The sequence below is a fragment of the Homo sapiens genome, chromosome 6, assembly GCF_000001405.40.
Source record: "Homo sapiens chromosome 6, GRCh38.p14 Primary Assembly".
NCBI classification, from domain to species: Eukaryota; Metazoa; Chordata; class Mammalia; order Primates; family Hominidae; genus Homo; species Homo sapiens.
In genome coordinates this window covers 15953998-15981027 of record NC_000006.12, presented here as the reverse complement: position 1 = coordinate 15981027, position 27030 = coordinate 15953998, and the positions used below count along the sequence as shown (strand labels likewise).

The 27030-nt window shown below is 41.3% G+C and overlaps 1 long non-coding RNA gene across 2 annotated transcripts, besides 2 other annotated features; it reads left to right on the top strand.

The window, feature by feature from the left end:
- Positions 1-91: 91 nt before the first annotated feature.
- LOC105374949 (uncharacterized) lies at positions 92-24533 on the top strand. 2 transcript variants are annotated; one of them, XR_926532.3, is made up of 4 exons: positions 92-175; positions 17091-17239; positions 20009-20092; positions 24356-24533. It is a non-coding gene; the product is annotated as an uncharacterized LOC105374949 (long non-coding RNA). The 2 variants fall into 2 exon arrangements; XR_007059479.1 differs by lacking the exons at positions 92-175; positions 17091-17239; positions 24356-24533 and adding an exon at positions 19531-19844 and having other exon boundaries at positions 20009-22237.
- Positions 18262-18331: an enhancer, noted in NCBI's record as "active region_24095". NCBI's record gives its function as "activates an Ori minimal core promoter by ATAC-STARR-seq in GM12878 lymphoblastoid cells {active_cell/tissue: GM12878}" and the evidence as "EXISTENCE:reporter gene assay evidence [ECO:0000049][PMID:35858748]".
- Positions 19396-19690: an enhancer, noted in NCBI's record as "tiled region #8871; HepG2 Activating non-DNase unmatched - State 21:Repr, and K562 Activating non-DNase unmatched - State 14:Gen5'". NCBI's record gives its function as "activates a minimal TATA promoter and a strong SV40 promoter by Sharpr-MPRA in HepG2 and K562 cells {active_cell/tissue: HepG2 | K562}" and the evidence as "EXISTENCE:reporter gene assay evidence [ECO:0000049][PMID:27701403]".
- Positions 24534-27030: the final 2497 nt, after the last annotated feature.

Genomic DNA, 27030 nt, shown 5'->3' with positions numbered 1-27030 from the left:
TTGTTCTAACCTGTGTATACCTGCCTTAAGGGCGGGGATTCTGCCTCTGGCACTTAGTGCAGTACGATGCACGTAGTGAGAGACCAGGAAATTCAGCAACAGAATCACTGACAGAACAGGTCTAGAAGGAGATCATCACAAACTAAACAGGACCCCAATGGCCATGAACAGCAGAGTAAGTAACCAGGGTTTCTATTGAGAATGATGGAACCAAGCAAAACTACCTGGGAGGGAAGCATCTAAAAAAATATTTCTCTCTACAATAAATTTAGAAAGAGCCAATGATTTTAGAAAATGGACTAGTCAAAAGCCATCCCTGGCTGCACTCAAATTTTCTTTCTCAATCTCTCTTTTTTTTTTTTTTTTTTTTTTGTTAGTAGATTCCCTTCTCTATCTCAGTTTTGGCTCAGTGTGTATGGTTTTTGTTTTGTTTTGTTTTGTTTTTGAGATGGAGTCTCACTCTGTCACCCAGGCTGGAGTGCAATAGTATGATCTCGGCTCACTGTAACTCTCTGTCTCCCAGGTTCAAGCAATTCTCCCTGCCTCAGCCCCATGAGTAGCTGGGATTACCAGCACCTGCCACTACGCCCGCTAGCTTTTGTATTTTTAGTAGAGATGGGGTTTCACCATGTTGGCCAGGCTGGTCTTGTACTCCTGACCTCAGGTGATCCTCCCACCTCAGCCTCCCAAAGTGCTGGGATTACAGGCATGAGCTGCTGCGTCTGGAAGTGTGTATGTTTTGATCAATGCTTTATAGTCCTCTCTTTAAAAAGTACTTTGAAATTGTAGAACTGTATTGCCAGAAAGGAGCTTAGAGATTTTCTCATTCATTTTGAGGCAATAGAAAGACAAAGAATTTGGAGTCAGACATATGTGAGTGAAAAGCCCAATCCTCTGTTTATGAGCTGTGGAACTTTGGGTAAGATACCCACCTCTTTGAACTATGATTTCTTTACATTATACTAAACAGAATAGTAATGTCTTCCAGGAGTGGTAATTAGGAAGATTAAAGCTATTGTAGGGCCGGGTACAGTGGCTCACACCTGTAATCCCAGCACTTTGAGAGGCCAGGGCAGGCGGATCACGAGGTCAGGAGATCAAGACCGTCCTGGCCAACATGGTGAAGCCCCATCTCTACTAAAAATACAAAAATTAGCCAGGTGTGGTGGCGCATGCCTATAGTCCCAGCTACTCAGGAGGCTGAGGCAAGAGAATCGCTTGAACCCGGTAGACAAAGATTGCGGTGAACCGAGATCGTGCCACTGCACTCCAGCCTGGCCACAGGATGAGACTCCGTCTCAAAAAAAAAAGAAAACTATTGTAGACATTCGTCTGGCACATAAAGAAGACACTTAAATCTAGTAGCTTTTTGATGGAAACTGGAGAACTCGTCCTTGGAATAAGTCAGATCAATGGTTTTCAAATGCTGCTCCTCAGAACTCTAGAGCAGTGGTCCCCAACTTTTTTGTCCCTAGGGGCCAGTTTCATGGAAGACAATTTTTCCATATGGGGGGTGGTTTGGGGATGAAACTGTTCCACCTATGATCATAAGCCATTATTAGTTAGATTCTCATAAGGAGAGCACAGCCTAGATCCCTTGGATGCAGAGTTCACAATAGGGTTTGCACTCCTATGAGAATCTAATGCCGCCGCTGATCTGAGAGGAGGCAGAGCTCAGGGAGTAATGCCCACCCGTGTGCCACTCACCTCCTGCTGTGAGGCCCGGTTCTGGTCCATGGCCGGGGCTTGGGGATCACTGCTCTAGAGGGATAAAGATGTGGTTCTGCAGCCTTCCCACTGGCAGCTGCTGAAGGGAAAGGGGATACCCAGTGGGCAGATTCCAGGTCCCCAAACCCCCTTTTCAACCAGAGCAGCCCCTCCTTTGTCTATTTTATATATCGAAATTCTGTGTTGGACTGCCCCATTTTTAAAAGAAAGAGATTGTTGAAAAGAAACTCTTAGCTTAGGGCAGTGCTTTTCAACTCTCCGGTTTCCAAGGCACACCTGCCAGCTCTTAAAACTGAGTATCTCTATCATTTAGAACATGGGCCCCTGTATTGTCAGAAATATATTTGATTTAAATGTGTCTTTTAAAAATCCTGTGTTAATTGGGAAAACAATTGCTCTCCCCTACAACAACAGGTGCCCAGAAAGTTAACTTGCTCAAAAAAGTTTATTGGATAAATGTCCAGTAAATACCTAAACTACATACATCATAATATTTTGCAAGAACAAGTGAGAAAAATGCTGGAAAATCTTTGCTGTTTAACACTGGGCATTATTATTATATTTATGCTGTTCCATCATCTGTATTTAATTTGTACTCCTTTATCTTTGCCATACTTTCTGCAATCTGGAAATTAAAGCAGAGGCTGGGATTGAAGGTCATCCAAACAAAACTGAAACCCATAAAGGTCTTATAGCTCTGGTGAATTAGAACAATAATATCAAGGAGAAGGTAGAATAATTACAGGGAGAATGTCTCATAACTGGGATGATAGTGCTAGTATTGCAGCAGCTGCTGCTACTGCTACTATTAGATTATTTCATGCCAGGTACTCTGTTGAGTACTCTGATCTTTATAACACCCTGCAAGGAAGGTATCATAATCTCTATTTTACATATGAGAAAACTGAGGCCAAGAGAGTTCAAGTAATTGCCCATTGTCACCTAGCTAGTAAGTAAAGTAACCAAGAATCTATTCTAGGTTGTCTGACTCAAAGACCAAGCCTTAAATAACTATGCTACTCTAATTGTTAGAAAGATGATTTTTGTAATAGTTCGTTCTCTCATTGCTGTAAAGAACTACCTGAGACTGGTTAATTTATCAAGGAAAAAAAAGGGGTTTAACTGACTCACAGTTCTGTAGGCTGTACAGGAAGTATGGCTGGGGAGGCCTCAGGAACCTTACAATCATGATGGAAGACAAAAGGGAAGCAGGCACATCCTACATGTCTGAAGCAGGAGGAAGAGAGCAAAGAGGGAGGTGCCACACACTTTTAAACAACCAGATTTTGTAAGAACTCACTCACTATCATGAGAACAGCAAGGGAGAAATCCACCTCCCTGATCCAATCACCTCCCACCGGGCCCCTCCTGCAACATTGGGGAATTACAATTCGACATGAGATTTGGATGGGGACACAAGTCCAAACCATATCAATAGTGGACAAGATGATTCTTCTGATTTTTGAATCCACAATTTTTCCATTAGAAACAGTAACATAATTCTGTCTTCTCTGATTTAGGGAAATGTAGAAATGCTTTATTGCCTAAATAAAATATTTTTAGGTAATTTAAAAATTGAGGACTTTTTTGGACTATCCCAGCTCAACAAGGCACACAGAGCATGCATATTTGCCTACTCTTTCTTCCAAGATCCTATTGAAATGAGAATAAAGATATCTAAAGGATGAATAAGTCTATTAGAATGCTGAAACAGAGTGTCATGAGCAGAAATTTTAATAACTTGGATAAATTTCCGGGAGTCAGAAAGCATATGATCCATATCGATATAACAAAGCAGAGTGATATACAAGCCATCAACATGCAAGTGAGGTGGCTTCACTCATAGTCCTTGCCTAGAGAGGCTCGAAGCTTGGAGCCAATGAGTAAAAAAGAACAAACATGGACCTGGAGCAGTGATCAGGGTAGGTAACCACAGAAGAGATAAACCACAGAACAGCTGGGCCAGCCAGGCCCACCCTCCCCACTCCATGTATAGAGAAGCTATTTACCCACAGCTGGAGCACCAATGAGTATATTCTGTAGAAAGTAGACTCTCTATAGGAGGGACTTGGGGCTTGAGTGGCGACAGAAGTATTGTCCAGCCTGAAAGGCTTTAGAGCCTCTACAATAAACAGAAACCCAGCTCCAGTCCAAAGTGTAGTTCCACCCTGCATATAGATAAAGTCCTTCCCCTTTGGGCAATTGTAATAGCACTGAACTTGCTGGCTAGATAAAGCTTGACTGTGGCAGAGCCATCCACTTACACAGAATCATGATCAGCCTTCCCATTCAGAAAATGGCCTTTCAAATAAACACAGCTCTTCATGCAATACATCTTATATGACCTATGTAATCAACAGAATTCTTCAATTATACATATGAACGATTGAGAAAGGATCTCCAGGCATTTGATGAATGAGAGGCAAGAGAAATATGGAGCTGAACACCGATCATTTCTGAAGAAACAGAAAAAACAATAAGATTAAACTGATGTTTATCCTCAGAGAGATTTGAGAGGCTATTGCATCTATAAAACAAGCACTGGCTGCTTTGAAGGCAAAGGGGATCAATTAGAGAACAAGAAAAATTTATTGCAAATTTAAAATGATGGTCAAATTCTTTTTAAAATCAATGATAAATCTAAATAGAATGAAAGCTGAAGACCAAATTAGGGACATGGTTGATAAAAGGCATTTCCCAGAAGGCCAGATATAAAAAGAAAAAGGCAAAAAAATATAAAAGAAAAATTACGTCAGTGAAAATAGACAGAGGCCCAGTGTTTATCTTAAGGGAGTTCTAGAAGCAATGCAAGGGAGAATGTAATCCAAGACACAATAAAGAAAATTGCTTTGCTCTGAAAAAAGACTCAGGTCTTCAGATTGAAAAAGCCCAACAAATGTCAAGCATTTGAATAAAATGACAGTCGCCCATACTTAGACATGTCTGTATAAATTTTAGAACACTAAGGCTAAAGAGAAAATCCCAGAGTTTTTCAGAGAGAAAAATAAATTACCTCCAAAGAACAAATATAAGATAGACAATAGACCTTGTCCTGCAACACTGAAAGCTAGTAGACAGTGTAGTCATGTCTTTAAAATATTGAGGGAGAATGACTGGGGACTAGATGATTGGAGGCTAAGCAATGAAAAGTGAGGGCAAAATTGAGAAGATTACAAGATATGCAATGATTCAGAAACTTTATGATTCATGCATCCTTAAAAATTAGTGTTATTTTTTATTTATTTTTATTTTTAAATTTAAAAAATTATTTTTAGAAATAAGGTCTTGCTCTGTTGCTCAGGCTGGAGTGCACTGGTGCAATGATGGCTCCCTGCAGCCTCCAATTTTTGGGCACAAGTGATCCTCTCACCTCAGCCTCCTGAGTAGCTAGGACAAGTGTGCACCACTATGCCCAGCGAATTTTATTTTATTTTTTTACAGACAGGGTCTTGCTATGTTGCCCAGGCTGGTCTCAAACTCCTGGCCTCAAGAAATCCTCCAGCCTCAGCCTCCCAAGGTGCTGAGATTACAGGCATGAGCCACCAAGCCCAGCCCTTAGTGTATGTTCTAATAGAACAAAGGAATCCAAGAAAGAGACCCAAAAATACTAGGTGCTAATCTAGAGAGTACTGAAATGAAATCCCAGTTTGATAGCAGCTATGTAGCAGTCAGTATGAACAGGTCAGAGAACTCTGTGAAGAATGCCTTCAAGAAGAAGGTAGAATCTAATACAAAATATAAAGCAACTATCTTTCCTGTTTACAAAGAAAAAGAAAGCCAGATAAAAACTGAAAAAAAAAATTTTTTAAGCTGTACAAAGCAATTGTTTTCGGATATGAAATAAATGAAAATGTGGCATAGTTTTGAGTAGAGTAAGAAGAGAGCATTAATTTGATTTTGATGTTTAAAATATTTTTCTGTGAGTGGCACAAGTTTAATAAAATAGAACAATATTCATTTTCCTCTATGGGTTCAACCATGCTAACTGGTTTTACAGTAAGTGATTGTTCTAGTTATCTACTGCTACCTAACACATTGCCTCAGAACTTAATGGCTTAAGGCAAAAATCATTTACTCTCTCTCATGGTTTCTGTGGGCAAGAAATTTGGGAGTAGCTCAACTGGGTGATGGTTCTGGCTCAAAGTTTCTTGTGAGGTTGCAGTTCAATGGAGGCTGGTCCTAGAGTCATCTTGAAGGCTTCTGTGTGCACATGTCTAGTGCCCGTACTGGGAAGAAGAAGAGAGGTGGACAGCTGAGGGCTGGGACAGCTGGGAATTCTTTGGCATCTCTCTATGACCATGTGGGCTTTCCAGCATGCAGCTTCAGTGTAGCCAGACATGGCTCAGCTCTCCAAGAAAGAATCAGGCTGAAGCTATGTTGCCTGTTATATCTGGACTAAGTCACAAAGCATCACTGGCACTGGACTTTATTAAGCCAGGTAGTCAGCTGAAACCCACCGAGGCTCAAAGGAAGGGGAGATAGATTCCAGCTCTTGATGGGAGAGTGGCAAGGCTTTGGAAGCTCATGTGGGACTGAAAATACTGCTGTAGCCATTTTGGGGGATACAATATGTCACTGTGATCACATGATCATATACTGTTCATTAGTTTGAATTTTTTAAACCAGCCTATAGATAAAACATGGAAGGAAACCATAATATAGATCAAAATGTAAATTTTACAAACCTTCAAAATATAAACAAAATTATATTACTGACATAAATGCATAGGAACGGGGGAGAAAAATATGGATGTACTCCTCCTTTCTACTCTCTTATCCTTTATCTTCCTCTCTTCAGCAAGTATTTGCTGAAGCCCTGCTATGTGCCAAGGACTTTTCTAGGTGACTTATTTTTTATAGTGAAGAATCAACAGACTCTATATTTGATCACAAAGCAAAAGTTTAAGTGTATTACTTAAAATTTTAAGACAAAATCTGGAATAATTATAACTAACACAAATTTTGAGGTAGAGGAAGAGAATTCTAGAGATAGGTGAGATAAAATTTTCATCTTTGATAATGAGTAGACAAAAACACTACCTTTAACAAGTGAAGAATTTAAAAAATTTAGAGAAGAGGAAATCATAAGTGGTTTTTAAAATTTATTATACATATCGAGGTAAAGATAATCCAACAGAAAATGAGATTTGAACAGACACTTCACAGGAGATAGACAAATGTCTCAACCTCATTAGTCACCAGACAAATGCAAATTAAACTCAAAATGCAATACCTGTACACACCTCACAGAATGGATAAAACTTGAAAGACTGACAAACCAAACCAACACAAAGCTGGTCTGAATGTGGAGCAAGGAAGACGCTCGTACTCTCCTGGTGAGCAAGGTGGAGATGGTAAAAGAGCTGGTGTAACCACTTTGGAAAACTGTTAGTATCTATTAAAGTCAAACTTATGCTTACCTTTTAACCTAGATATTCCCCTCCTAGATATATAGCTAAGAAAAATGCCTCAAATACACCAAAAGACAGGTTCAAAAATGCTCACAGGGCTGGACGTGGTGGCTCACACCTGTAATCCCAGCACTCTGGGAGGCCAAGTTGGGTGGATCATCTGAGGTCAGGAGTCTGAGACCAACCTGGCCAACCTGGTGAAAAACCATTTCTGCTAAAAATATAAAAATTAGCCAGGTGTGCTGGCATGCTCCTGTAGTCCCAGCTACTCAGGAGGCTGAGGTGGGAGGATTGCTTGAACCCGGGAAGCGGAGGTTGCAGTGAGCCAAGGTCACACCATTGTACTCCAGCCTATGCAACAAAGTGAGACTCTGTCTGGAAAAAAAAAAAAATGCTCACAGTACTATTATTAATAAGAGCCCTGAATTAGTCAGAGTTCCCCAGAGAAATAGAACCAATAGGATTTGTATATATAGAAGGAGTTTTATTATAAGAAATTGGCTCATGCAATTATGGAGGCTGACAAGTCCTAAATCCGCCCTAGGCAAGCTGGAGACTCAGGAGAGCCAATGGTGCAAGTTCCAGTCTGAGTCTGAAGGCCTGAGACCCAGAGAGCCAATGGTGCAGTTCCACTTAAAAGGTTGGCAGGCTCAAGACCCAGGAAGAGTCGATGTTTCAGTTCAAGTCCAAAGGCAGGAAAAAGCCAACCTCTCAATTTGAAGACCAGTAGGCAGGAGGAATTATCACTTAGCCAGGGGAGGATCAGCCTTTTTTTTCTATTCAGGCCTTCAACTGATTACATGAGGGCCACCCACATTAGGGAGGGCAATCTGCTTTACTCAGCCTAATGATGCAATGTAAATCTCATCCAGGAATGCCCAGAATAGTGTTTAACAAAATATCTGGGTACTCTATAGCTCAGTCAAGTTGACACATAAAATTAACCATCACAAGCCCCAACCTGAAAATAACCAAAACGTCTATCAATAGTAGAATAGATAGCTTACTTGTGGTACAGTCATACAATGAAATTAAAATAAAGATAATAAATGCAATTACCTACACTCGTGATACAAATGCATTTTACAAACATTAGGTCCAGTGAAGAAGTCAGGCATGAAAGAGATTATATAGTATGATTCCATTCATATAAAATACAGACAGAAAAAACTAAAGTGTTACAAGTCAGGACAGTTGTGGGTTTTTGTTGTTGTTGTTTTGTTTTGTTTTTTCAGAAGAGGGGAAGTTTTGAGGAAAGAGAATGTAGTCATTGGAATGGGCACGATGAGAAATTTGGGTGTGCTGGTAATATTTTTTACCTTGACCTTCATGGTTGTTCATTGGGGCATTCAATTTGTTATAATTCACTGAGCTGTACTCTTACGATTTGTGCATTTTCTGTATGGACCATACTTTAATAAAAACAGCTTTTAAAAACTTTATTAAAAGAGAGTGATTCAGGGGCAGTTTAAAACTTTTTGAAAACATAAGCAAATATTTTCTAATTCAAAATAATCAGAAAAGCAAAGCCTCATCAAGTCATTATCATGACAATATTGCAAAATGCAACTCAACATAAGCAAAACTATTCTTCAGTTGAATTCGCCTTTAATAAAATAGTTATTTAAAAGTTTCATTATGATAAACACTCCGAAGGCACAAAAAATTTTCGAGTGTGTAAAGAATCATTTATCAAAGTATTACTGCTTTGCATAAACTCATGAACAAGTGATAGTGAAAAGATTACAACAATCTGAAAATCAGATGAAACATTTATTATAACATAGAGTGGCATGTACGTAAGTTTTACTAAAATATGTTCTTTCATTGTTATTTTATCTACAGCAAATGTTCTTTCTCCAAATTAAACCAATTTAGAAACTACAAAAAAAAAAAACCTATAGGATAATAACCATTAACAGAATTAACTTTAGTCAGCAGATACAGTCAAGCGGCAGAAATACTGGAAAACCTAGTAAACCAGTTGCACAAATCAGAATGAAAAACACCTTCATTTAAAAGATGTAATATGTGTTATTTGGATCAAACATTGTCTTTGCTTATCGTTATTATATTTTTGTCTTCAACTTTAAAGTTTTAAGGATATTTAATGTTGGAAATGTGTTTGTATTATACAAAAACATTTTTTCAAACATTGGAAGGAAAAAGAAAATAAACAAGTTAGGGTATATATGTAATTCATTTAAAAATCATTTGAAATCTTTTTTTTAATTTGTATAAATGTAAAAAGTACAAGTGTAGTTTTGTTACATGGATATATTATGTAGTGATGAAGTCTGGGCTTTCACTGTAACCTTCACCTGAATAATGTACACTGTACCCATTAAGTAATTTCTCTTCCCTCACCCCCCGACCCTCCCACCTTTCAGAGTCTCCAGTAACTATTATTCTGTACTCCATGTTCATCTGTAAACATTATTTAGCTCCTATTTATAAGTAAGAACACACAGTGTTTGACTTTCTGTTTCTGAGTCATTTCACTTAGGATAATGTCCTCCAGTTCTACCTGTGTTACTGCAAAAGGCATGATTTCATTCTTTTTTATGGCTGAGTAGTACTCCATGGTTTGTTTGTGTGAGTGTGTGTGTGTATGCATAACAAGGACATTGAAAGTCAAATATACATATATTTATATATATACATATATATATCACATTTTCTTTATCCAATCATCTGTTGAGGGACACTTAGGTTGAGAGAGAAGGTATTATGCAGACCAAATTAATTTTTGTCTTTGTTATAATATTTAATGTAAAGAATATTTTATAGCAAAATTAAGGGAGAGTACAAGAGCTTCTTAAGCATATAACAGAAAATTGAAAGAAAAGAATAAGATATTAGCACATTCTAAAACAAAGACCATCTTTTTTCCCACTTTTAACTTTTGAAAGTGGCAGTATATTGATTGGTTCATGTGGAGTAGTAATATTGCAATTTTGCATAAATACTCCTTGAACAACAGACAATAAACTAAAACCAAGTTCTTCATTTTTTTAACAACTTAGTCTCTGATGGAATAGACTTTATAATAGTGTCAGGAGACCCACAGGGTAAGTCAACATTTGCTCATTGGGGAATCCTATAGCTGTCCATGGCGTTCTGGAGTGCTTGACCAGATGCAGAGTCAATAGGTCAAAGTGATTGACCCATACTTGTGGAAGATAAGCCTGTGCAGGCTTTGGCTTCCAGGGTTCAGGTTAAAACAATAAAAGACCTGTACTCTGACCCTCTTTATTCTGTGTCACGTTGGAGAAGGGAGCAGGGTGAGCTTCTCTGGATTCAGCCTTCATTCCGGAACAGAGTGAAAGGTGAGTCTTGGACATATTTTCCAAAGGCATCAATTACACAAATTTCCAAGGAGTATAAGTCATAATCTTAGGAGAACACCTTGAGCAAATTAATCCAAGGTGGAGGAGCTTCCATCTTGTTTCCTTCTCAAAGTTCTGAGAGGGGCTGAGCAGCTGATGGGAACTCTAGTTTTGTCTCTTGGGTGCCTCAGTGTCTCCATTACTCGCAGCATGGCAGGCACAGTAAGAATGAAGAATTTTCTCTTTCCCTCTCCATATCTCCTCCTTTAAGTTCTCTGGTTAAATAGAGGTAGGGGAAGAATAAGCAGGGCTGGTATTCAACCAATAAGCCCCTTACCAATTATTTACCTCCCACTGGTGGTCAGATTGGTCAATGTCCTGCTTGTTATGCATTTTTTAATATTATCCCTGGAAATAAACAACCTTTTACAGTGGCCACTCTTCTCTGCCTTCTGTTTTTTGGTTTTAGGTTTTGTTTTATTTTGAGACAGGGTCTTACTCTGTTGCTCATGCTGGAGTGCAGTGGAACGATCACAGCTCACTGTAGCTTTGACCTCCTGGGCTCAAGTGATCCTCCCACCTCAGCCTCCTGGGTAGCTGAGACTATAGGTGCCTGCCACCACACTGGGCTAATGTTTTTGTTTTTTTTTTCATCTTTGTATAGACAGGGTTTCACCATGTTACCTCGGCTGGTCTGGAACTCCTGGGCTCAAGCAATCTCCCTCCCTCTGCCTCCCAAAGTGCTAGGATCACAGGCATGTGCCACCACGCCAAGCCTCCCTTCTGTTCTTGAGTAGCTGTGAGATAAAACTGTTTGCAAGAAATAAAGGAGAGAACTCTTTACTGAAGTTTTTGAAATGAAAAATCACCTAGCTTACCAAAGTAGGAGTATAAAGCAGAACTGGAGTGAGTGGGGCTGGTAGGAAGTCCCAGAAACACAGAGGACAGCCATGGGGGAGGAGCACACAGCAGTGGTTCTCCACCTGGGTTGCACATTGGATCACCTGAAGCTGGCTGGGGCCTGGGCAACAGGATTTGTAAAACTTTCCCGGTTGTTTCCATGTGCTGCCCAGGTGGAGAACTACTCCGCAGAGCTATCTTGGCAGAGGGAAGGCTGAGAACCACAAATTAGAATAGACGTATAAAGACATGTCTGGCCAAAGAAATCTCAAACATGTAGGCAGCAATGCCTTAGAGGCACAGACTCATGACAAGGGCATGGGTGCCTTTTCAACAATTATACTGTAGCCTGTGGTTAAGGCTATGATAAAAGGAAGCCAAGAAAGTCCAGTGAAAGCAAAGATAAATCCTTTCAACACAAGGTGGAACGATCAGTGCTTAGAGAAAATAATCAAAGGGTACTTTTAAAATTATATTCTTAAAAACTCTTTCATCTTAAAAGGATTTTAGATTTACAGCAAAATTGGGGAGCTAGAGCTTGCACATATTCCTTTCCCAGTTCCCTGTTATTAACATACCACTGTAGTCCATTTGCTACACTCCATGAACCGATATTGGTGCATTCATATTAACTAAAGTCCATACTTTATTCAGATTTCCTTAGTTTACAGTTAATGTCTATTTCTGTTCCAGGGTCCTCTCCAGAATGCCACGTTACGTTTAGTCATCATGTCTCCTTAGGCTCTTCATGGCTATGGCACCTTCTGTGACCCTTCTTGTTTTTGATGGCCTTGATGGTTTTGAGGAGTGCTAGGTATTTTGTAGGCCATCCCTCAGTTGGGACATGTCTGATCTTTCTCCTCATGGTTATATGTGGTTGTGAATTTTGGGGAGGAAGATCACAGAGGTGAAGTGTCATTTTCATTGCATCATATCAAGGCTACGCACTATCGACATAACTTATCACTGTTGACCTTGATCTTGATCTCCTGGCTGAGGGGATGTTTGTCACGTTTCTCTGCTGCAAAATGACTCTTTTTTTTCCCCTTTCCACACTTTGGAAGGAAATTATATGCATAGCTTCTACTTAAGGAGTGAGGAGTGAAGTTCCCTGGTCTTGAGGGAAGAGTATCTACATCAATTAAAGAATGATACATAGTTGTGTTTGTAGCCACCAACAAAATGCACAGAACCTTTTCCCAATCCAGCCAGGCCCCATCGTTGAGGTTGGGCTTTTCAATATTCTCACTCCTCTGACAACTAGAACCTGACCGCCTCTGACTCAGACCTGCTGCTGTGGGTCCCATTTTTTCTGCCATCTTCCTTCTGCAGCCCCAGCATTCTTACCACAGGGCAAGGTGGAGAATCTGGGATTCAGAACCCAAAAATGAAAACACCATAGAAAATGGTGGGAGGCGCCATGTCACGGATTGAATTATGTCCTTACCAAAATTTATGTGTTGAAGTTTTTAACTCCCAGTACCTCCGAATGTGATCTTATTTGGAAGTAGGGTTGTTGAAGACGTAATTAGTTAAGATGAGGTCATACTAGAGTAGGATGGGACCTCATTCCAATATAACAGTGTCCTTATAAAAGGGGAAATTTGGCCACAGAGACACGCGCATAGGGAGAATGCCGTGGGAACATGAAGACAGAGCTCAGCATGATGCATCTACAAGCTAAGGAATGCTAAAGACAGCTAGCAAACCACCAAAGCAGGGAAGAGGCCTGGACAGACCCTTCCCTGGAGTCTTCAGAGGGAGCATGGCCTGGGCCACCTTGATTTTGGACTCTGGCCTCCAGAGCTGTGAGAGAATGAATTTCTCTTGTCTTTATTTTGGCCTTAATAATAATATAGCCATAGGAAACTAATACGGACTCCAAAGACCTTCCTCCCCATTACAAAGGGATATAAAACCTTTTTTGTTTGTTTGTTTTTTGAGATAGAGTCTTGCCCTTTCACCCAGGATGGAGTGCAGTGGCACAATCTCAGTTCACTGCAACCTCCGCCTCCTGGGTTCAAGTGATTTTCGTGCCTCAGCCTCCTGAGTAGCTGGGATTATAGGCGCACTCTACCACACCTGGCTTTTTTGTTTTTTTGCTTGTTTGTTTGTTTTGTTTTGTTTTTAAGTAGAGACAGGGTTTCACCATGTTGGCCAGGCGGGTCTTCAACTCCTGACATCAAGTGATCTGCCCACCTCGGCCTCCCAAAGTGCTGGGATTACAGGTGTGAGCCACTGTGCCCAGCCTCAAAGGGATAGAAAACCTTTTTAAAAGCCCATTTAGTTGATTCAGGGCCAAAGTAAATTCCTGAACACTTGTCCATTACCTTATTCAACAGATGTCTACTGAGAGCTGGCGCTGTGCTCAGAACCCATGAGAACCCTGATGAGCTGTAGACCCTTAAAGGCTCAGCCATTAGTCTGGGGACGGAGACACTGCAGAGACAGGGTGGCATTTTATTTTACTTCCTGTAGCTCTTACATTTCAGATTCTGTACCTAATAAGTGCAGTTAGTGTATTTCTCACTTACATAGGATCAAGCAGAAGGATCTTTTAGATCAGTGTCCCCAGAAAACAGACCTCGAGACTGAGATTTGTGTGAGGGAGTGAGTGCGCACTGAGGAGTGACTGTTCTTAGGAAAAAGACCTGCAGGAAAGCAAGGGAAGGAGAATTGGGCAGAAATCAAACTGTGATGTAGCTGCAATAAAGATCTCAGCCCATCCTGTGGGGAGCTCTGGAGGAGGGATGACCCTTGAGAGAGGTCTTACTTGAGGCAAGGGGACTGGGCCTTTATACTCCTGCATTGGCTAGTCATTAAATGGAGAAAGTGCCCAGCAAAGGACATAACTTTGGGCCAGGCAGCCTGCTTCAGGCAAAGCTTAAGGAGAGACTTGCCCATGAGCTCTCAGCAGCCAACACTCCCAACAGCTGGAATAGTAAGTGCTTCAGTCCTGAGCAGAATTCTGGATAATGCACCACAGCGTTCATGTCATTGGTTTTCTGGATGCAAAAATAAACATTTATTGGCCAATATTTATTAAGCACCTAGTGGAATTAGCAGACTAAAGGTAACTAAATCGGCTCCCTGAACTGTCTTGCTGGCAGGCCATAAACACAGAGACAGGGAATGCTTAGGTTGGAAAAATCAGAATGGGCAATGTCAGTTAACCCTAAGAAAGGTGGCGCAGAATCAAACAGGCCAGGAACAAGCACCGGGTACGTTAACTCCTAGATTTCACAGAAGCAAGTTGATGTGTTCTGTCTTTTTTCAGGGAAACTGGCCCTGAGCACAGCTGTGAAACAGACATTGTTGGGAAAACTCTTCTTTCTTCTGGCACCCACCCAAGCACCTGATCCTTTGCAAACTGTGCTGTGCTGCTCGGTTAGCCTGGGTTCCTCCTGAAGGCAACAGCCCAGAGCCTTAGCAGAACTGTGGTTGGCTTGCAGGAGCTTCTCCCACATGGAATGAACCCCAGGCCTGAAAAATTACCCATACAGAGCTGCCGGTGGCTCCTGCCTCTAACTTATAGCCATCAAGGAAGACAGTGCCTGCTTTCTAATTCCATGGAAATCCATAACCCCTACACCAGGGCCAGCCTCTCCTTGCTGTCTGTAGGAGCTTCCTAGAGGTGCCATAGCAAATTACCCCAAACCAGATGGCTTCAAACAACAGCAATGTACTCTCTCACAACCCTGGAGGCCATAAGTCCAAAATCAAGGTGACAGGAGGGGCCATGATCTCTTCAAAGGCTCTAGGGGAGAATCTTTTCCATGCTTTTCTCTTAGCTGCTGGCTTTGTTGGCAGTCCTTGGCATTCCTTGGCTTGTGAACGTGGCACTCCGATGCCTGTGTTCATTGTCGCAAGGCATTCTCCCTGTGTCCATGTCTTTTCTCCTTTTCGAAAGACAATGATTATATTAATTAAGACCCACCCTACTTCAGAATGACCTTGTCTTAACTTGGTGATATCTGCAAAGATCCTATTTCCAAATTAGGTCACATTCACAAGTACTAGGGATTAGGACTTCAACATATCTTTTGGGGGGACACACTTTAACTCATACATTATCTAAGGCTACACTGCCTACTCTAATTCACTAACATGTACTAGTAGAAGAAATCTTGACAATTTCTTCAGAGCTTCTCAGCATAATGTCTTCATTCTTACACTTTAGCAAAAAATCGAAATCCTGTGGCTCAACTTCTGAGATCTGTTGTATAAATAGTATCTTGCGTGGTGCCCAATAAATAAACACCTTTCTTTCTCCTGCTGCAAAACTTGGTGTGTATATCTGGTCTTACCGCACCGGGCAAACAGACCCTAGTTTAGTCTGGGATATTGGGAATAATCTTATTGCAGGTAATAGGACCAAGATAAGCCAAGGTGAAACAAAAGGAAAGGTATTTTGAGATATCTGGGGTCTCAGTGGAGTCTCTCCAATAAAAGGTACCAGCTTCAGCTATTCTTGGGCAAATTCCATGTATTAATTTTACTGGTTGAACAGATTATATCACTAATTAGACCAAGACTTGATCTTGATTCAGAACTACCATTCCTAGACTACAAGCCTAACCCTCACTGGCCTTGTCACAAAGAGGAAACTGCTCAAAGACGCCAGTGCAAAACCCATCCCGGCCACTGAATCAACCAAGCCAAGGATCTTCTGATGAGATTAGGTCACAGAAGCCTCCATATTGATGAAGGATCCCATCCTATCCTCAGCAGTCTAACTTTAAGACTGTCACATTTTTAGGTTTTTAAATAGAAATGATGATGAGCTACTCCAGCCAACCATGCCTTAATATGAACCACTGTGAAACTGACACTAGAGGTTGATGAGAGGTGCTGTAGATTTCAGAAAAAATGAAAACGTGAAACAGAGCGGGGACTCACCTCTTAGGGACCTGTGCCCACCCTCCAAGCATAGAAATGAAGGAAAATCTTGAGTTTCTTCAAGTGAAATTCTAGGTACCTAGCTAGCCCAGAAAAGTAAATAAGCGACTTGATAAGCAAGAAGGTAATTGTAGCCTAAAACGATAGCCATGGAAGCTAGAATCATGGGATGTTTGGTTCCCCTACAGAAATTAAGATAATATCTTAACACATGTTTCCAGAGTTGCTTTTCAGAAACTTGACCCCCACCAGAGGGATCTGCCCACCATAGACCTCAGATAAGGGGGACCTAGGGACTGAACTTTGAGCCCCATTCTTTGTTCTAAATTTCTTCCTGAGGGGCCTGGAGAAAGTCACACCCACGAGCTAGAATCAACATTCTTTTCTGCTGACCCTAAATTTTTAAATAAAGCTTTTGCAAATCAGAAAATCCTTGAATCTACCTATGACTTATAGCCACTCCCCAAAATATCCCACCCCTTTAGTACAAAACCAAGGAATAAGTGCCATGTATTGATTTATAATTGTGCCTGTAACTTCTGCTTTCCTGAAATGTGCCCCTAACCTACAAGCCATCAGGGAGGTCAGGATTTAAGCATTGGCTGCATAGTCCTCCTTGCTTGGTGCCCGATAAATAAACACCTTTCTTTCTCCTGATGCAAAACTTGGTGTGGATATCTGGTCTTACCGCACTTGGCAAACAGACCCTAGTTTAGTTCTAAAACAAAAAAAAAAGGGACTCACATTTATATTTTATAGATGAAAGACTGAGGAAGAGAAAATAATCAGTTGTTTTTAAATTTGATTTCACATGTAATTTCAGACCCGCTTAACTGCTGCCTGAAACGTATTCAAAGAGATGAAAGTACAGAAGAGTTCTAGCCTAAAGCCCAACAGCAACCGTGGAGAGTCCAGGAACCAACTCATCAGCCCTGTCAGAGCTCATCAAAGATGAGATGTCTTCCAATTGTGGTGAGGTTCATGATTGTCTTGAAAACCAAAACACAGCCGAAAACAAAGACCACAGAGAAAAGTATGGCAGCTGAGCAAGCTGTGAACTGTTCCTGTTCAGAAACCTCCTGCAGGTTAACCAGAGTTGGAGCCTAATTCCATCACTTATAAAAGTGGAGCTGCTTCAGACCTTTCCGAGGAGCAGGAAGTGTAATGGCCAGGTCAAAAATCCCAGTTCTAAAACTGCCCAGACCTTGGGCAAAGAAATTACTTAATATCTCAGAACCTAGTTCTCTCATCTATAAGATGAAATTATTAATGTAACAATATGTATTCTTATAGGATTGCTGTAAGAATTAAATAGTGGTACAATATGCTAAATGTTTGCTATTATGTATATACCATGTGCTAGATATGCAGTTGCTGTTCCCGCCATGTACAAGATAAAGCACCTCTGAATTAGAGATGTTTGTATCTGTTGCATCTTTAATCCATCTCATAGACATGTCTACCACCTGGACACACACTTGCCTTGTCCAGTACAATTAACTCAAGCACTGTGGATCAAGACTGTTGCATGGTATTAGGTTAAATCTAGAAGTAAATGGAGGCTTATCACCAATGGGTGTCGGAATTCTCATATTCCTCAGGTTAAGAATAAAAATGTAGCACAGCTCCAGAAGACTTAACCTCATTCCAGATATGAATCCATGCCATGTGACAAGGTCAGAGCAATACGGTTTCACATAGGTAAATATAAATACCAATTAAAACAAGTAAATAAAGAAAGAGGAGAAAATACCCTTTGTTCTTATTGTTTTCCGTTTTGTGTTTTAGTTCAAAAATTTTCGAGGGTCTTCTGACTCTGGTGACTTAGGGTAGAAGGGACAATTCAGAGAGCTCCAAGAGGACATAGAAGAGCCTTGTCCCCTTGGGAGGCAATGGCTACCAAAATACTTAGTAACTAACTCGGTGCTTTTAGGGGGAAATTTGGGATTATGTCTGAAGAAAGCAGCAGAGGAGATCTACATTAAATAGGATGCTGGCGCTGAAATTTGGAGACTCTCCTTCAGTTCTTAAGGTTTAGAATTACCCAATAGGGCTTTCCTTCTCTCCTAACTAAAAAGACTCATTTCACAGCCTGATTTTTGAAATTCTTTCACATTTAATCACCTAGGAGTCAGGGCCTCTACAGCAGATCAGAACATTTGCAGGATGTTAATGACCATTTCCTGTTCATTTTTTGACTCTGCAGTGAAGGCTTTTGTTTCTGTAGCTTTTCCTGCCGTTGGCAGCCCTTACACACACACATACACACACACACACACACACACACACACACACTCACTCTCTCTCTCTCTTTCTCAGGGGTTAAAGTCAGCCTCTACTCTTTGTTGAGGGAAAGAATACATCTCTCTCTCTCTCTCTCTCTCTGTCATTCTCTTTTTAGAGGTTTTGGCCAATTCTGCTCTTCACCTCCATACTCCCTACAGACTGCTCCAAGCCACCCCCAGGAGATGCAGTGTTTGTGAAGTCAAACTACTGGGTAGGCCCGCCTTACCAGGGCAAATTATATCCTGTAGACACACACATGTTTGCATACACATACACAGTTTTGTCCAAATTATTTTTTTTAATTGCATAAAGGGCAGTCTCAAAGGGAAAAATGATCACAGAAGGGCAGCAGGTAGCCAGAAGGGTATGTCTGTCCTGTTACATGGCCTTGGTGGTGTGGTGCCCCACTGTTGAGAAGGAAGGGGAATTCCTACATTAGACTTACTTTTGACTCTAAAGCAAGAGAAGTGTGAATGTATAAGCCTTGAGACAATGAGCCCACACCCTCTTAGATTTTAGCACAGACAAAAGAAGGGAAACAATGAATTTCATTCAGAACAACAATGGATCTGATCCAATAGCTTGAGAAGGGGACATTTCAGAAGAGCAGGAGCTCATGGGACCTACCAAGGACAGACAGGACACTTTAGCTCTCATCAGAGTCACAGGGAGCAAGAGGGGAGTAGCCCACTGCTGGGTGCATACAGCACAACGCTAGCGAATAATGGAGAGAAAGCAGGATTACTCTATCTATTCACTTTCTATTTTCTCTACCAAGGGAAATAAACTTAAAGTAGAAAGGATAAGATGAACATTATTAAGAAAAAATAGGTCACAAGATAGTAGGAGGATTTCAGCCTTAAAGACTTCAAATTGACAGCTTTGTGGGGCCTTTTAGCTCAGCTGGAACTACATTTCCCAGAATCCCCTACCCTGCATGGTTCCCGGCAAGGGCCCAGCAAAGATACATTTGCACCACAGTTGGAAGCCAAAAGGGAAGTGGCAGCCTTGTTCTTTCCCCGCTCTGAAGGTGGGAGGAGGATCACCAGGGCATCTGAGGCATGCCGCTAGTCTGCTGGCTCATGTTGTGGGCCTGCAGAAGCAGCCAGATGATCCACTCCTTCAGCTCTCAGACCCAGGCAGCACATGTTTAGGTCCTTGAGCCAAAGGGGCCAGACTTGGAGACAACACAAGGCAGAAGATGGCTCCAGTCTGTCCTCACTTCCCTGCTCTGCATCTGCCTTGCCACCCTGACCCGCTGCCCTGCAGAATTCAGACTCCAACACCAGATGTAAGACAAGCGTCCGCAAGTGCCTGAAGTCAAATCCCTAGAATGAATTCTTGATTCCACCTAGTATTTGTGTTTCAGTTTGAATCCCAATGGATATAGATTATAACCCAAGGAACTAGAGAAGTTGCAATTGTAATGATGAACTTCTTTTGATTTTATTTCAGAAATCAGCTCAGCACAGAAGAGATGAGCGTGTGTACTACTTTCCAAAAGAGGAAGTGGATTCAGAAAACTACTTATTTTGATGGGTCAGTGAGAAAACAACAAAAACAACAACTCTGTAAACTACTTAGAGGTTTATTCTGAGTGAATATGAGTGACCATGGCATGGAGAACAGTATCAACAGGTTCTGAGAAAGTATGCCTGAAGTGGTCAGGTTACAGTTTGGTTTTTATGTTTTAGGGATACAGGAACTGTAAGTAAAATCATAAATAAGTGCATTAAAAATGTACATTGGTTCAGCCTAAAGAGCCTGGATGTTTTGAAGGTGAAGTGAGGCTGACAGGTTGTAAGTGGATTCAAAGATTTTCTGATTGTCACTTGGTTAAGAGTTAAGCTTTGTAAAGCCTTGAAGTCAGTAAAAAAGAATGCTTGAGTTCTAAGGGTAGCTGTGGAGACCAAGGTTCTTGTTACGTAGGTGAAGCCTCCGGGTAACTGCTTTCAGAGAGAATAGGTGGTAAATGTCTCCTTTTGGACCCTTAAAGGGGTCAGAGTCTTAATCTCCTCTAGACCTGGGAAAGGCTGAACCGTATTAAGCGAGATTCTCTGCAGTTCTCTGCAGTTCCCCCCAAAAGATGGCTTCACAGTGCCATTTCAAAATATGTCAAAGAAATATATTTGGTAGTAAAATATTTTTATTTCCTTCAGTCTGCCATGTGATGCTACACCAGAGTCAGGCTGGAATTTGGAATTTTATTGCCACGAAGAGTCTGTTGTGTCAGTCTTATGATGTCTGTTTTAATGTTAATGCTGGTCAGTGCTGCCTGAACTCCTAAAGGGAGGGAGTACGATGAGGTGTGTCCAACCTCCTTTTCCATCATGGCCAGGAATTTGGTTTTCAGACTTCTCTGGGATCCCCTTGGCCCATAGGGGGATTCATAATTGGTTAGGGGGCTTAGGATTTTATTTTTGTTTTACAGATTTTAGTCCCCCCAAATTCTCAAATAGAATTTAAACCTATGGATTATGAACAATCAAAGGAAAAAATGAACATGGTGATAACTAGACACAAACATGGATTTATTACAGATAAATTTTGTCTAACTCATTTGATTTGGGGTAAGAGTGTTAAGTTAGTATATCAGAAGAATTAGATAGTTATTACTATAACCATAATACTCACAAGGAATTTAACAAAAATTTTCTCACATTCTTCTTAAATATAGACTAGATTCTAGTTAAGTAAAATGTACAGCATGGGCTGGGCATGGTGGCTCATGCCTGTAATCCCAGCACTTTGGGAAGCCAAGGCAGGTGGATCACAAGGTCAGGAGTTCAAGACCAGCCTGGCCAACATGGTGAAACCCCATCTCTACTAAAAATACAAAAATTAGCCGGGCGTGGTGGCACACGCCTGTAGTCCCAGCTATTGAGGAGGCTGAGGCAGGAGAATTGCTTGAACCTGGGAGGCAGAGGTGGCAGTGAGCCAAGATCACACCACTGCACTCCAGTCTGGGTGACAGAATCTCAATGTTTTCAAGTCTTCCTAAAAGGAAGGGGTCCCATTAAAACCACCTTTGCAAAAATTATAACAGTGAGAAAATTATGGCAGTCGGGGAGATCTGACCTAGCCAACCCCATCTTGCCTTTTGCCTTCAAGCTGCCCTTAGTTATTCCTGGGCTTAGACCAAACTAACTTTGGGGGACATTTAGTTTACAGTTTAAATGATAATAGCCCTTCCCCCAAATTCAACTGCCTTTGTAAAGCTAATGAGAGACCACCAGTGTAGGAGGATAGAGGAGCCTGAATTCTGCTAAGGTGTAGACATGAATGAATGCCAGCCATTATTCTGGAGGTCACAGGCTATGCAACTTCCCATATTACTCCTGCAGATAACATCACTATTGTAGAACCTAAGATTGGCCCTTTAAGATATCTTTTCAGGTTTTTTGCAGGTCTGACAATCGTTGGCTCCACCTGGACCCACTAACCACTCCTGTGGCCCCACCAGAATGACTGAGTGCATAGGAGGACCATTTCCCACACCCCTGTGATTGCACCCCCAAACAATCAGAGCAAGCACCCATTGCCTAGCCATCCCCACCCCTTAGCCCAAACTACCTTTGAAAAATCCTGGCCCCTAAATTTTCAGAGAGATTGATTTGAGTAATAACTCTGTCTCCCATGTGGTGTGGCCAGCTTCATATCTATTAAACACTTTCTTTATTGCAATGCCATGGTCTGATTTTATCTGTACACTAGGCAGGAAGAATCCATTGAGTAGTTACACACTTTGCCTCTATCCTTCTCCTTCCTATTGGTTAGATTAGGGATGTAATGGCTGGAGCTCCAGCAGCTATCTTAACCCATTGGGTGGTCTTAAGATCATGTTATGAAGCCGAAAGAAAGTAAACCCTTGGGTCCTTAGTACCTGTCACAGTTGCTATACTAGCTGTGTACTGCTGGTTTGCAGGTTTACTTTAAGTGAGAAAGAACTAAACTCTTATCTTATTTATTTATTTATTTTCTGTTACATGCAGCTGAACTTAACCCTAAATGATACTGAATGTAAACGATGCTATTGTGTCAAAAAGTATGTCTCAGACTAGAGGAGGATTTCCAATGGCTTTGTATTTGGCCAATATTTTTATTAGTTCACTTAATAAACACATGAAAGATCTTGCTATATTTTCAGAGGAAAACTCTTGGAGGCTCAATTATATTTTAAATAATAGATAAGTATTAAAAAGAGATCACAAGAGAGGGGAACCATGGGTCAAAACTAAAAAGATAAAATTTCATAAGGATAAATATGAAGTCTGGCTTAGGGCTAAAAAATGACTACAGCTTGTTTGCAAGTTGAGAGAACCTACCTGAGAACTCTTAATATTCAAAATAAGCAATATAAATACAGAGTTCCACTATCCTTGTGCTAGTATTATGTTAACACAGTCCTGGATATTACATTTTCTAAAAGGTCATTGTTGGCTTAGAGTGATAACTTGAATGCACATGTTTATCTCTTCTCCCCCATGGACCTTGGTGTATCAAGCAGAGCTGTGTATACATATTTTTTTTTGTCCTTTTTAATGGTATACGCTGGTGTTTTCTAATCTTTTGTCAATTGGGACACACCTATTGCTGAGTTCCAGTCATCCATTTACTCATAAATTCATTCATTCACTTAACACTTGTTGAGCACCTATTTTGTGTTCTGCCTTGAGACTGTATTGATATATTAGCACATGGCCACATAGGGCATCAAGGATGAATAACAACAGTATTTATGAAGGAAGACTCTTCCTTTCCCTCTAATCACGCCTTTAACAACCCTAATCCTGGAGGCATCAGAAATAGTGGAGAGGAGATAGAGGCACAGGGAAGTAACAAACTACATTCCACTTCTTTGCTGCTGGTGCCTGGTCTGAAGGTCCAGTCTGAGCTGCAGGGGAGAGAGAAGCATTGTGTCAAGTGTAAGACTAAAACTTAAATCTCATACTAAAACAGGCATTTGAATGCCTAAAAGATTTTGGCTGATATGCTGGAAAAAAGAAAAAAACAAAAAACAAAAACCGTCTGCTGAGTTTAAAGATAGTAATGAGGAAAAAAACAACCCAAAGCTGTTTTCTGGTTGTGCCCTGTATGTTCAGCCTATTCAATGAACCTTGACTATATACAGAATAGGAGGAAGAATAAGACAATAAGACACCAGTAAGAGTGATTGGAGGAGGGGAGTGGGTGGCTGGAGTTTGACAGGGAAGGAAACACACTTGTATCTTTTGAATTCTGTACTGCATGCAGGTATTGCCTATTCAAGAACCAAATGATTTTTTTTTTAAAGGACTTAGATGAAAAGGTGGACAAAATAGAGCCTCTTCAGAGGAGAAAGCCTGGAAGGGCACAGGGTCTATTCCTCATGTTAAGAAGGAGTGGTTGATAGATTGGAAAATGTTTGCCTAGACTTGGGGGTGTGGGGATGGGAAAAATGGGTGGTAGATGGAAGGTATTTGAAGATCCACCTTAGTCTATGTTTATTTAGAAGACAGGACTGTCACAGTAGGTAGTTAGGCAGACTTGAGCAGGGCAGGAGAGGGTCCCCTGAACCAGGATTATCAGGCGACCATCAGGTGATGGTCAGGCGGTTGTTTGTTAAACTGCCTCTCTAAAATAATAATGGGTTGCAGCCAGCGTCAGGGAAAGGCAGTCTCCCAATACACAGAAAACACCTGAAACTGGTGATCAGCAGCTTCCCAATAAGATCTCAGGAGTTGAGCAAGTGGGCTTAAGCATGCACACTAAGAGGCAAAATGGAGGCGTTTACCCGGTGTATGACCTCTAGTGTTCCTCTAGGAACACTCTGCTGGTAACGGAAGAACCTCAAGTGATCATGAGCACAGCTTCAATAAACACACTGCACGTGCAGCCCCTCCCAGGTGCTGGCAGGCCACCGGGCACACGGACAGCCCACCCCAAGGGAAGAATCAGGAGAGAAGTAATGCAACCCCCTGGAAGCATGCCAATGTATACAACCCCAAGTCAAAGGTCAAATCGTCATGCACTTGAATCTCTCAAGTCGCCCACTTGGCTCTCTTCCAAGTGTACTTTACTTCGTTTTGTTCCTGCTGTAAACTTTTTAGTAAACTTCCACTCCTGCTCTCAAACTTGCCTCCGTCTCTCCCTCTGCCTTATGCCCCTTGTTGAATTATTTCTTCTGAAGAGGCAAGAATTGAGGTTGCTGCATACTCGTATGATTTGCTGCTGCTAACAGGACTAAGATCAAAGAGAAGACACCATAGAGTTGTAAATATTGAGTCAATTTCACTTTCCTTTTTAGGTATGAGCTTCCATCATGGAGGGATTAATGACAAGAGGTTCTATTAAGTTTGCCCCTTTGAGTGGAAAGTAGCCTAAACTACTAAAGTCACTTTCAACCTCATTCAATGACAGTGGGGTTTCAACTCGGTATACACATGAGCCTCAGGTCTTTTTGATGTTAACATCTGCTTAACACTGTCTTCCTAAATCCCCACTGTCCATTCTAGTGACTGCTCAGGTTCAGTAATCGCGGCAAAAGGGACAGAGGAAGAAAGGGAATAGTGGGACGATTCTAACACACCAACTCCAGTCAGCTAGTTGCGCTCACTCAGAACCAAGGAAGTCTGAAGGAATTCCATGTGCTGCTACATACACTAAGGAGGAGGAATCCATGTCTATCAAGGACTGTGAAGGGTCTGAGATTTTACCCTGTTTGCAAGCTAACAAGTGAGCCTGCCACAGTTTCATTGATGCTGGCAGAAGACATGAGACTCCTAGGTTAGAGATAAAGGACTTTATCACTCATGGCCACAGTGGTTTCCCTTGCCTCTTAAGTCCCGTGAGGGCAATGCGGAGGCAGGCCCAGGTGGATGGGTGTTGTACACATAGTGGGTCTGAGAAAACTCAAGCAGAAGTCCTCAAACTTATAAGGGGGAGGCCGTAGTAAACTTACCCAACCTTTGTCCCAGAGAGATATGTTATCCATTTTATCATAGTCAGAAAACCAATCTGTCCTCTTCCCTGGAGAGACGTATATCTTCTGTGGCTCTTTGCTCTATAAACATCCTTGGAAAGATAGTCTGGGATAGAATCTATCACAAGATACGTAGAAGCACCATAGAGAATTGCCCCAACAGTGTCTCCTTGTATGGGTGAAGTTCTGGACTAATCTATTTGTGTCGTGGTTGGATGTAGAACTGCCAGCTGGCTACACAAGTCTAAGCTCCAGTTAATATTTTTTGGACCAAGGAAGCAAAGAAAGGCCTCAGGTTTGGACGAACCTGGATTAGAATCTTAGCTCTGTCATTTAACAGATAAGTTATTTGCTTAGTGTCTCTGATCCTCGGTGTTCTAATTTGTAAAATCAAGCCAATGATACTTACCTCATAGTGCTGCCATAAGGATTAAAATATATTATATGCGCAACTGAATACAGGTTAGTTCACCACCTAATATTCTTTGATTTTTACTTTGAAAAAATAACATTTTGGGGCCTGGGCATGGTGGCTCATGCCTGTAATCCCAGCACTTTGGGAGGCTGAGGCAGGCAGAGCACTTGAGGCGAGTAGTTCAAGACTGGTCTGGGCAACATGGTGAAAATCTGTCTCTACAAAAAAAACACAAAAATTAGCTGGGTGTGGTGGTGTGCACCTGTAGTCCCAGCTACTCAGGAGGCTGAAGCACTCCAGCCTGAGTAACAGAGCAAGACTCTGCTTCAAAAAAAAATTAAAAAATAACATTTTGGATCCCCAAATTGTAAGAGACTTATAAAGACATGTACAAAGTCAGCTGTCTTTTCCTGTGATTTGGTCCTGTATATTGAAGGAAAGGACAGGAGATGACAATCTTTGAGCTTCCCTAATACAAAAATACTCATTTGTGTCTCTCAGTAACTCTTGGGTCAAAAGATTTTAGATGCTCAAATTTAAGTAACTCTCCAGATGGGAGAACATGTCATCTTTGCTTTCACTTCTCTTGGCTCAGATTGCTGCTGATCACCCTCTTCTCTCTGCCTGGCTTCCCATCCTCCAGTGTTGACACAAACCCTGCTTAATTAGAGTAAATTTAGGTTCTCTACCCCCAATTCTACACAATAAACACCCCAACCTATGGTATCATAGATTTTCCTCAGGAACTTTAACTCAGTATCTCTCTAATTAAACCTGTTTGGGCCACATTTTTTTTTTTTCTGGCAGCTCTAAGCTTGATAGATGAAGAGACAGCAGAAGACTAGAAAGTTGTACCCTGTAAGACAATGCTAAAGCAGATGACTTAATTAGAGGAAACCAAATAATTTGCCTCCACTGCTTCATATGGCTATTCATAAGATTGCTTTGTTGGTTCCCAGACCAGAAATAAGCATAGAGACCCAGGTGTGTCATCTGTGTTTTTTCATCCCAGGTGAGCCAGGAATAACCATGTTATTTCTGACAGTCATCAAAAGAGAAATTTGGGTTTTGCTGCAGATAAGAAAATAAGAGGCAACAGCT